The sequence below is a fragment of the Homo sapiens genome, chromosome 12 (genome assembly GCF_000001405.40).
Source record: "Homo sapiens chromosome 12, GRCh38.p14 Primary Assembly".
NCBI classification, from domain to species: Eukaryota; Metazoa; Chordata; class Mammalia; order Primates; family Hominidae; genus Homo; species Homo sapiens.
In genome coordinates, this window is record NC_000012.12 from 39,856,503 (window position 1) to 39,869,019 (window position 12,517).

The window sequence follows — 12,517 nt, forward strand, 5'->3', positions numbered from 1 at the left end:
GGACTACAGGCGCATGCCACCATGCCCAGCTAATTTTTGTATTTTTAGTAGAGATGGGGTTTCACCGTGTTGGCCAGGATGGTCTCGATCTCTTGACCTCGTGATTTGCCCACCTCGGCCTCCCAAAGTGCTGGGATTACAGGCATGAGCCACTGCGCCCAGCCCCTATGCTTTGTTTTTAAATAAACCACATTTGGTCCATAGCAATAGGTATTTTCCTACTATTCAGACAAGGAACACGTAGCAAGGTTATGTAACGTGCTTTTACAACATGATGGGAAATACTCCAACTTAACATACCAGAGTGTTTTAAGTGTTAATAGCTGAATTGTTTTCGTTTCATACAAACTTAATTAAAGAATAGTTAAGTTTTTTAGGGGCCTTGTTTCATATTTATATTTTCTGTAAGGTTTTCTTGGTCTTTATTATAAGAAAATACACCAGACGCTGATTCCAGTCAATTGCTGTCACAGTCCTGGATAGTTTATTTCATTTGTTTATGCAGATGCTATTTTAAGTGGATTTACTTGAAACAGGAATAAAACTCCAAGTTGGTTTCATGTGTTCACTGCAATGAAGAGTTCTAGAATAAGAATATAAGTCCCATGGATTATCAGAGATACATGTTTTTCCCCCTTTATCTTGTTCTGTTATTTCAGACCTAAATGGACAACCTCAGAAACACCTTTCTCAGAAGTCTTTTAAGTTCAAGAAGGAATGAAAATTACCTTTCAAATAAGGATATAAATTACAGAAAATACTAAGTACTGTGCTCATTATGTGACTGTTGTATTTAACTTGAGAGCAAAGGAAAGGGTCTCCAGATTTACATGCCTAAAATTATGTTGCTAAGTAGACCACAGTGAGGTTTCGGATCCTATATTCCTCTTGCCCTAAGTATTTTCCAGTTTCTAAAGCATTTATTTTCATCTATTATCCAGCTAATCACCCAGCCTTGCCATTCCCCTCCAAAATATCTCGTTTCTCTATATCCACTGTCACCATCAAGGTTGCGTTATTTCTTGCCTAGGCTACTAAGTTCTTTTAACCTTTCTCCCTTCATCACCATTTGTCTGTCTGTAATCAATTTTCCACTCTGCAGCCAGACTGATCTTTTAAAAACACAAATCTGATAATGTCATTCTCATCCTATTACCCTTTGAAGGCTTCTCAGTATTCTAAGATAATGTCCAAAATTCTCCTGGTGTATAAGGTCCTGAGATGTTCTGTCATTGGCCTGCTATCCAGTTTATTTTGGTGCCATTCTCTTGCTTGCTCGTTATGACCCAGTCTTGTTGGTCAATTCTTTGAAGAAGCCATACTCCCTGCTTAGGACCTGTACACATTCCCTGATATTCCCTCTCCCTGAAATGCTTTTCCTTCATCTTTGCAAACCTAATCTTGAGTCCTCCTTCTTGTCTTTCTGGCTTCCCAAGAAGCATTTTTTGACTATAGGAAAACAAAACAAAACAAAAAACCAAGGTTTGGGTAGCAAGTCTTGCCAAGTGGGGGATTTGTAAGTCTGTGGCTAAAAGCCTAGGCATCAAAATTAAAAAGTTATGGCGAACTCAAAGAATATGTCCCATAAATGGCAAACTTCCTCCAAGAAGCTCTTGTATCCTTCCATGACAGGTGGACAGAATCCTCTCCAGGTGTCAAATTCAGCACACTGGGTATTTATTTAAGTGTTAGCAAAAGATATGTGCAGTTATTTGGCAATAAGGTCACAGGATGAGATTTATGTGGACTTTTTGTTCCAACTTTCATTTTCCTTTTTAATTGACTTATGTACATTTATCTTTATCTCCAATGGGTCTGTAGATATTAGTAACACATACAACATTGTTTTCTACTGTAGCATTATTAATAGTAACCTCATGGTATATTAGCTTGTGCCACCATGCCAAAAAAATTGAAACAGATTCATTTTATAGGAAATTAGTAAGAAAAAAAAATGTTTAACACAAATGGAAAGTTGTTTCAATTCACAGCATAATATTATATTCACTGTCAAGATGCTATGAATTACTGATGCTAAACACACTATTACCAGGATGTCAAATACTGGGGAAAAAAGAGGGGCTAATAGGGTTTTTACACATTTCTTTTTGTTTGTTTGTTTGAGATGGAGTCTTGCACTATTGCCTGGGCTGGAGTGCAATGGCACGATCTCGGCTCACTGCAACCTCCGCCTCCCAGGTTCAAGCGATTCTCCTGCCTCAGCCTCCCGAGTAGCTGGGATTATAGGAGCCTGCCACCACACTTGGCTAATTTTTTGTATTTTTGGTAGAGATGGAATTTCACTATGTTGGCCAGACTGGTCTCGAACTCCTGACCTCATGATCCACCCGCTTTGGCCTCCCAAAGTGCTGGGATTACAGGTGTGACGCACCGTGCCCGACCGTTTTTACACATTTCTAAGGTTGCATAAAAGTTTTATGATCGAATCTGACAGTCTTACAGTGCTCATGTTAATGATGCGTTTGTTAAATAACACAAGGCTGGCAAAAGGAGAAGAAAAGGCAGTGTAGTGAATACAAAATGAATTTTTATTGGAAATGAACTTTGAAGGGACTAATTTATGAGGGGCATACTGTTTCACAAAACCAGTGTCACCACCATCTACAGATGAAGCCACAGTTTGTCAATTTGGATTTTGGGGAACTTCATCTGAAGAGGAAAATGTGAAACTATCACTATACAGAAAAAGAACCACATTGATCATATTCTTATGCTTGGTTTAACAATGTTCAAGAAGCAAAAAACAAAACAAAACAAAAACCAAAAAAAAAGAAAAAGAAAGAAAGCTGGCAGTTTTTTTTTTTTTTCTGAAAAAAAAAAAAAAAAAAGTGATAGCATTATGGCAGTGGTTCTTAATGGAAGATGTACTGGCATCACCTGGGGAGCATTTCAAAACAACATGCCACTGTCCTGGTGAGGCTGACCGCTGGAAAGGGAAAACAGGTGACTTTAAGTACCTCTGCAGATGACCCTGGTTAAGACTCTTAATTGAGAAGTTTTTGTTTGTTTGCTTTTTAAGACAGAGTCTCCCTCTTGTCACCCAGGCTGGAGTGCAGTGGCACCATCTCAGCTCACTGCAACCTCTACCTCCTGGGTTCAAGTGATTCTCCTGCCTCAGCTTCCCGAGTAGCTGGGATTACAGGCACCCACAACCGCACCTGGCTAATTTTTTTTTGTATTTTTAGTAGAGCTGGGGTTTCACCATGTTGGCCGGGCTGGTCTCAAACTGCTGACCTTGGTGATCCGCCTGACTTGGCCTCCCAAAGTGCTGGGATTACACGCCTGAGCCATTGCGTCTGGCCTTAATTGAGAAGTATTAAAAAGAAAAAGTATAATGAACTAGAGGCATAGTCCCTTTTGTCAATTTCTACTCAAGCAGAGTCTAAAATATAGCAAGATCTGTATCAAAGAGGTAATATGCTAGGCATCATTAAATTCCTTGAATTACCTAATTGTACAAGTCATCTTAACAGAAAAACCATGTCCTTGGTCCAAAGCAAGAAGAGCAAGGTTTGAAAGGAATAGAAAAAGAAGCTGTTGTGTCGTTGGTTTCATATTAACAATAACTCCTAAAGAACTGTGTTAGCTAAAAAAGGAAGGTCTGTATGGGGACAAGAGAAGCCTAAAGAATAGGTGGTTAGTCTGTGTGCCCTAGGAGAGGAGTGTGACTTATTTGGACCTCAGTAAGGAAACTAAGTAAGATGTAAGTGTAGGTGTAAGATGAAAGGCTTGAATTAGGTTACATTTAAGGCCTTCCAGCATGAATAGCTTATGATTCTATGCTGGGATTAAAAGCCTGAAGAATGGAGAGATACTGCCCAATTGATTAGTAAACTACTAGTGGTTTACAAATAGATTATGAATTGCAAAGGTAGCTAGAGTCTTGATAAAGATCTTAGTTGTGAACAAGATGTTGCCCATGTCTATGGACTTAATTATCATGCATGGATAATAATTCTTCATTCTAGAACTCTCCTCCAACTACGGGCCAGTTTTCCCAAATACCTATTCAATATCCCAGCTGATGTTGGTTCATGGACACCTGAGATTCCACATGTCCAAAATTGCACGCATGGTCTTACATCTTCCAATTGCTGCATCTTATTTTTATGATTTAGTCCACCTTTTTTCTCATGCAGAAATTGAGAACCAACCAAAGACTCCTTCCTCCTATGGCCACAGTTAATTATTTATTTTAAATTTCCTATTGATTTTTCTCTCCTAATACACTGAGAATCTGTCTACCTGCTTATCTCCAATGTCACCACCATAATCCAGGCAACTGTCATCTCTCTCATAGACAACTGTAAAAAACCAGTCTCCCTACATGAACACATGCTCTTGGTGGCACCCACACCCACCCAGAGACAGTTTAGAATTCAAAATGTGGTCAAGGCACACCCCTGCTTAAAATTCTTCCATGGATTTACGTTCTTAGACTGAAGATCAAAAACCTCTGAGGCTCTACATGATTTGGCTCTGATCTGTCTTAATAGTCTTATCTGAATCTTCTCTGACCCCATAGTCATCTTCTTTCAGTTCCTTGCACTTGCCACGTTCCTTACTGCCTTGCAGGATCTTTGTACCTGCCATTCTTTCTGTGTGACATACTCCACTCTTCTTTTAAGAGCTCAGTACAAACATCCCATTCTCAAGGTAATCTTCTCTGAGTGCCATCATCCCAACTTCATCTTCTATTACAGGCTTTATTAATTCTAACAATGACTGTAATGTTTATTGAGTGCTTATTATGTGCCAAGCACTGTTTAAGGCATTTTCCATATGTTAATTTATCCTTACTATAATCCTATGGTAGGTGATCCATAATATATTTAGATGCATGAAGAAATAATAAGTGAATAAGATAAAAACCCTAGGGCAAGGCTACCTTGAAATTCTACAACTGTATGCTTTAGGAAATATCTGTCTACTTTTAAATGTTTTATGATAGTGATTTACATATACTGAGATCACACCATAAATAATAATACGTCAAGTATTTGAGGGAAGCGTACATAGGAAAGGTTTGATTCCTCAAATCTTGGCTAGCTCTTATGAGAAAATATTTTGAATTGGAAATGAAAGGAATAGAACATTAGTAATTTGAGAGTGTGGAACTGAAGGTCATATTGGAATTATGGGTGTGAAAAAAAGAAATATGTGTGTGAACTCTCATAAAGATATATGATTCAGATGATACTCATGCTAGCGTTATTTCTTCTAGCTGCAGCTGGGACCCTATGACAGCTTTTATACAGGTGGCCAAACATTTTCTATAGCAACTTGCATCTGTCTTTATCTTTGTGCACACTTTTATCTATTAAAAGCAGATCTAAAAGGTGTTTTTTTTTAAATTTAATTTTAAGTTCCAGGATACATGTGCAGGACGTGCAGGTCTGTTACATAGGTAAACATGTGCCATGGTGGTTTGCTGCACCTATCAACCCATCACCTAGGTATTAAGCCCCGCATGCATTAGCTATTTATCCAAAAGCTCTCCCTTCCCCCACCACTGCCCCCTAACAGGCGCCAGTGTGTGTAGTTAGTTCCCTTCCTTGTGTCCCTATGTTCTCATTGTTCTGAAAGACATTCTTTAATACATTCAGTCCAGAGAATTGAATCAGGCCTTGGAAAATACATTATCAATCAAAAACTTAAAATATTCTAAAAAGGAGATGTCCTCATTGAAAATTATTTAGGGTTGTCGATCTCTTGAATCTCAAGTCATTAGGGAGCTCTAACCTACAATATTTTTGGCCTGGTATGCAACCAATATTTATTGAATTAAAATCAAGAAGAATCATTGTTCTTTAACCATTTACTTTCTTAAATCTTCTCTAGTAAGAATGAACTGCATACTCATCACTGTGGTCTATAGATTTCTACAAGTGGACGTGCTGAGTCAATGGACATAGGCACTTAACTTTTATTAGGCAGAACCATATCACTTTCTAAAATGAAGAACAATTTGTGCTCCCACTAATAGAATAGAATATGATGTTACTAAGATATTAAACTACTTCTCCTTTAAAATCTGTTTCATTTGCTAAATTTTCCTATACGGATCACTCCATGGGGAAAGCATACTATCTACATTTACAAAGTGAACTTCACTCATCTTAAGGTATTATGTGATTCTTTTCCTGTTTGTCTTAAGGAAAGGGGAAATGTATATAGATGGTTTTTATTCTTAATTATTGTGTATGCATAATAGTGGACCATATTTATGGGGTACATGTCATATTTTAATACAAGTATACAATGTGTAATGATCAAATCAGGGTAATGGGGATATTCATCACCTCAAGCAATTGTCACTTGTTTGTGTTAGGAACATTCCAATTCTACTCTTTTAGTTATTTTAAAATAACTAATACAGTCAATTACTGCTCAGCTGGTAGAGCAGAGGATTATAGATGGTTTTAACCATAAAAACCCAGTAAGCGGACTGCAGCCATATTTTACAAAATCACTTAGACTATAAATACATACTGTCAAATTCCCACAAAGCCTAATATGTTACTCATACAATAAATAATTGTTTTTCATATCCACTGACTCCCGAAGGACACCTAAAATTTGGTTCTATCTTCACAAATGGCTGCTTATTTTTGTAATAAGAATAAAGGTAGGCTGTATCACTTCTCTTACCTCATTAAAATTGAATATTAAAATATGAGTTAGATGATAATACCTTACATCATAAGGATTAACAGACTGATGATCATAAACTGCTGTGCAGTGAGATATACTTGGGCAATAAATATTTTTATTTAAACTTTAAAGTCAATGTCAGGAAAACTATTTCATTATGTAAATCACTAAAAACTTACAGTCATTCCTTTCCTATATCAGAAGTTCAAAGAACTTTTTCTAATAATTTTTAGGTGATTTTCTGACTTTAGTTGACCTAACAGTATTTCTGAACAATACATCTACATCAGACATTAGATCTGGAGAATATTCTATGATTCTCAAATGACAGTAATTTTTAAAATACTTTTTCAAAGTAACTGTGTTAAAAACATATAAGTAAAATATCCATCAAGAAAAAGAAAAGTAGAATATGCATTTCTAGCAATTGAGGCAGATGTCCAAATAAAGATGCTATGGTTAACTTCTACTATGAAGACACCCTTAAGTCTTCTTAGAACAATAAAAAGACTATGAAAGTCAGTGAGCCAATAATAAACAAACTTATCAGTAAAATAAAAGTCGTGCTATGATGCCTATTTTCCAAAGGCACATAGATCACAATTTGGAACCAATATATCTTCCTCACTGTTGTAATGAACAGCCACCATAAATTCACGCTCAACTGGATGCTCTAAATGAATACCAAGTGGAGTTTAGGGTATAATGTTTTAATTTCATATAGGGTTGTATGAGTTAATAAATCATTTACTCATTGATTTGAGACTTGCGTCCATCTATTTCAAGCTAAAGGAATATACATTTTTGTTAAGGCTAGGTCTTATTCTATCTATATGTTTTAAAGGGATTGCTAGACTTTATGGTGGCTAAAGTCCAGTTTAAAACTTTGAAGCTCTGCTGCCAAATATATTAATCGATGTGTCCAATCACTCAAAGTTTCATTTATGTGTTCTCAGTCCATCTATCCATTTATCTACTTTTCGATCTATTTATCACATAGTGTGTACACTGTTAGATTTAATGAGCTCTTAGGCCTGCAGCTAGCCATTAGAACATTTTGTTTTCTTTCACCATCACTTTTTACTTCCTGATCCTCTGAAAGAGCCTCAGTACTGAGGGAAAACTTTCCTTCTGTTTAAATGAATAAGAGGATAGCCATGCAAATCAGTCCAAATTGTCAGAATATTCAGAGGGCATGTGCATCTTGTAAAAGTTTGATTACTGATTAAAGTTATTTACTTTGCTTGGAACACAGAGGTGACTGAATTGTATATGATCTAAAATAGCTTTTCTGAATTCCTGCTTAGATTCAGTATCAATCCCTAATTTTAATTTCCAGAGAAACATCACCAAGATTGTGTCTAACAACCCACTCTCTCCTTAATTCCTTACACTCACACATCTGCACAAGCTATTCCTCTTCCTAGGGGCCCCTCTCTACCACCTTTCCCATTTTCTTCCCTTCTTACATAAGCCTGGATGCCCAGCAAGCTCCTACTCATCTCTACAACTTTAAAAAAGTTAAAAGCAAGCAAAAAAGTTACCAGAGTCATGTAAAGGAAGAAGAACATAATGGAATCTCACCTGTATCTTGTGCAAGTGGCGTTCTGACCTGACGGAGCTATTGGCTTAAAAGTGATGCGTGGGGAAACTTGGGCTGATAGCACAAATCCCAAGGCAAGAATAATGAGTGCTACGGTGGTACCTTAAAAAAAAAAAGTTTTATATTAGAGAAGAGTTGACAATATTGTTTTAAGGCAGACTGGGTTTGGTAAAAACAAACCAAAAAACAAAGAAACAAACAAAAACTCCTGAAAAAAAAATACCGTGCTCTATCTTCACTGGATTTTTAAAAAGTACTCCCAATGTATAAACAAATTATCAGAACTATTCACTAGCACGTTCATTGTGAGACATGATGAGAGTGAAATTCAAAGCAAATACATTTGCTAGCCAAACAGTAAATTGGTAATGATTTTTTAAAAGAAACCACGCACACCTAGTATTGCTGAAAATCTCAAAATCAATTAATGTGACAACATTATTGAGTGCCTAACATATCAAGAAGCACGAAAGACAATAGATTTCCATCAAGTGTTCCTTTTGGTGCCAAGAAAATTCTTCTAATGACATTCAATCATGTAAGACTTAAATTGGTAAACCTTTTTAGTTTAACAAATGAGTTATTTCTAAAGCAGTTGAAAGAGCATGTTTTATTAAAATGGAGTAGCATTTTTTGAAGACTTTAAAGTACCAGAAATAATATATCACATATATTCTTTTTTCTTTCCTGTTGGTATTTGAAAGTGAAATATTTGTTTTGGTGTTAACATATAGGAATGGTGATTAAGTATATCACTTAAAAGAATAATTTTTGTGTCCCTTATAGACATCCTAATGGCAAATAAGACATTTTTCAAGTTTCTGACTATTGTTTGAGCCACAGACATTGTGAGGGTAAACGAAAAGGGTCATGGGAAGAATGGAGAAAGAAAATATGATGGAATACTATGCAGCTGTAAAAAAGAATGAGATCATGTCCTTTGCAGCAACATGGATGGAGCTGGAGGCCATGATCTTTAGCAAACTAACACAGAAATAGAAAACCTAATGCTGCATGTTCTCATTTAAAAGTTGGAGCTGCATGATAAAAACACACGGATACAATGAAGGGAACAACAGACACCAGGGATTACTTGGGGGTAGAGGGTGGGAGAAAGGAGAAGATGAAAAAACTACTTATTGAGTAGTGTGCTTATTATCTGGGTGACAAAATAATCTGTACACCAGACCTCTGAGATATGTGTTAACTTATATAACGAGCCTGCACATGTACCCCTGAAATTAAAAGTTAAAAAAGAGAATATGGCTGTGTTAGTTTGTACAACTTATTTGAATGAGACAAAATAAGTTTAAAACATGGAATTTAGGAGGGCAGTTTAGTAGTAGTTAAGGTTTTATTAGTTAAGCTTGGAGGGAATTTAAATTATGAACAAAAATATTCAAAATAGATTTTAAAAAGAACATTGAGAAGCATCGTGGAAGTACAACACGGTTATATAATAGTTGAGATGTTTTTGTTTAAGACATAGTAGGTGTGTGAAGCCAGGCATTATGGGTACAGAGGTGACCTTGGGATCAGATGACTGTAGTTTTTAGCTAGCTTTGCTGTTTCCTGACTCTGTGATCTTGGATAAAGGACACAACCTTTCCATAATTCAATGTTGTCTTTTGTAAAATAGGGCTTAGTGAAAATACTCACCTTACGGGCTTACAGTGAATTTTAAATGTCATAATGTATTTGAAAGATTTTTTTTTTTTGAGACGGAGTCTCGCTGTCGCCCTGGTTGGAGTGCAGTGGCGCGATCTCGGCTCACTGCAGGCTCCGCCCCCCGGGGTTCACGCCATTCTCCTGCCTCAGCCTCTGGAGTAGCTGGGACTACAGGCGCCCGCCACCTCGCCCGGCTAATTTTTTGTATTTTTAGTAGAGACGGGGTTTCACCGTGTTAGCCAGGATGGTCTCGATCTCCTGACCTCGTGATCCGCCAGCCTCGGCCTCCCAAAGTGCTGGGATTACAGGCGTGAGCCACAGCGCCCGGCCGAAAGATGTTTTAATGCTATAACATGTTAGTTATTATGCTATGATTATTATTACAAGCAGCAGCAGCAGCAGCCACAGCAAGCCTTCAAAATAACAGAACAAAGTTGAAGGATGGGGAGGATTAAAGAAAGGTCAGAAGTCTATTTTGCAAAACCAGGCCAATAATGCGATAAAACTAAAATCACAGTTTGTTTAACTACTGTTGGCTTAAAATTCAAACCAGAACTAGGAATAGTTTGAGCCATTACTTTTCTCAAAAGACTATCAAGCCCCAAATTGGAAAACAGAAAAGAGATATAATAGGTCTGTTATGAAGATCATACCTCTCTCCTAAAACAAAACAAAACGAACCATGAGATTTACTGTTAGTCTGTCCATCAAAAAATCTGAGTCCCTATTTTCCCAAATTACATCCATATCTTATTGCCATGCAACAGGTAAGATTTTTTAAATCAGGAAACTTTGATATATTAAGATGTGAAGGAAAGATGAGTCTCTTCTTTCATAACACTCATTAAATAACCTGTCTCCATGAAAATGATAAACTCTAAGATGGTATGCCTAGCACATATCCAGTAAGGTCCAATTCTAGTGCCTGGCATATAAAGATTCAAATAAATATTGGTTGAATGGATGGGCCACCATACTATACATTTTCGCAATGTTGGCTATTTTTGAAAAAAACAAAAACAAAAACAAAAAAAAAACTGTTAAGTCCATCCAATTACAGTCATGAGGTTAGTATGGTACAACTATCCTAAATGAGAGCTCTGCAATATGGATAATATGACTCTACATCTATCTCTTAAGGTCCAACCAACCTAAAAATTATGAGAAATAAACTATTCTGTATATAGAAAATTCCTAAATAGGTAAAAGTTAACTCTTCTTAAGCCAAATTTATTTTATTTTGGCCCATTTTGGAGGAAAATATTTTAAAAGCCAGCATTATACTCTTTTGTTATTATATATAGTGATGTTTCTCAATCCTGGCTTCCTGTTGGAAGCAAATGCCTGGATGTACCCCAACCTCTGAATCAGAGTCTCCAGAAGATCAGTACAAAATATCTGAGTTTTAAAGCTTTCCACAAGTGGTTATGATGCCAAGACAGGGCTAAAACCCCTATGACATGATAAGCTCCTTACAAGAAGGAAATGGTATCTTAAACGACTTTATTTATAAAATAAATTTTTAAGTAATCACTTAGTCCTATCATCTACTCATATACACTATTAAAGCATAAAACAACTTGAATTACCTTTTTACTTATATTTAGTTAGTTACAGATGTTTTATCAGTCCCTTGTTAGTATTTAAAATCAATCTGGTTATTGTCAAGTTATTCATTATTACAACCTGGATTTGAGTCTAATACAAGAAGGCTTTGGATGAAAGAATTTTATCTGGTGTACTGTGTAGTTTTGGCATGTTCTTTATGTTTCAAGAGAAGAGTCTCTCTTAACCAAATACAGTATTAGATTTTGGAATTTTGATATAATTTGGCAAATAAAAATATTCTCCACAGGAAGTGAAAAGTGCTGAATAAATAGCATTATTAAAAATATCTATTGTAATAATCAGTACCAGGTACAGTGTTTGGCTTATTAGTAAATACTCAAAAAAACAAAATAATTTCCCTTCCCATGACTCTACCAGAGCAGTAGTTCTCACACTTTGTGTGCATAAGTATCACCTAGGGAATGTGTCTAAAGTGCACATATTTCAAGTCTCATTTTCAGAAATTCTAGTTTAGTAGATCTGGGTTAAGGCCCAATAATCCATGTTTTAAAATAAGTATCCTTGGCAACTGTGATGAAGACCGTCTGTGAGTGAAGTTTTCAGAAATATTACACTACCAAAATACATGAGGGGGGAAAAACACAATCTTTCTGGCTTTCTGATTCATTACCAATAAAGCTACATAGATCCAAATCTTCCAATATTAAAGAATCAAGAATTTGTCATTAAATTTGTAATATTTACCAGAAAAGTCCAGTTCTCTGAACAAGCTTTGAAAATACAAAAAGTCAAACACCAAAAATGTCCTACATTTAAGATTATTCATGGACTACATATTTTGTACTTCTTTGTATAAAGAGTTCCTTTGTCCAGGCTTACATATTTTTTATTTGTAATCATTTTAAAAGAATGAATATCTAACAAAAAATCATCTTGATATAACATTTTTCACTATTTTTAGTCCAATATAATAAAATAAATCATAGTAAGAACACAAAATAG

The 12,517-nt window shown here is 36.0% G+C and overlaps 2 protein-coding genes across 9 annotated transcripts in view; one reads left to right on the forward strand and one right to left on the reverse strand.

The window, feature by feature from the left end:
- The window catches only part of REDIC1 (regulator of DNA class I crossover intermediates 1), a 282,118-nt gene that overhangs the window by 230,320 nt on the left and 39,281 nt on the right, over positions 1 to 12,517 (forward strand). The window lies entirely within an intron of this gene.
- The window catches only part of SLC2A13 (solute carrier family 2 member 13), a 351,057-nt gene that overhangs the window by 101,478 nt on the left and 237,062 nt on the right, over positions 1 to 12,517 (reverse strand). For 7 of the 8 annotated variants that reach the window (XM_011537847.3, NM_052885.4, XM_017018765.2 and 4 more), the window contains one exon: positions 8,260 to 8,380. In XM_011537847.3, the coding sequence (XP_011536149.1) occupies positions 8,260 to 8,380 (121 nt within the window). Of the gene's footprint in view, positions 1 to 2,528; positions 2,948 to 8,259; positions 8,381 to 12,517 lie in introns of those variants that run through there. The other variant, XM_011537849.3, reaches the window with a different exon arrangement.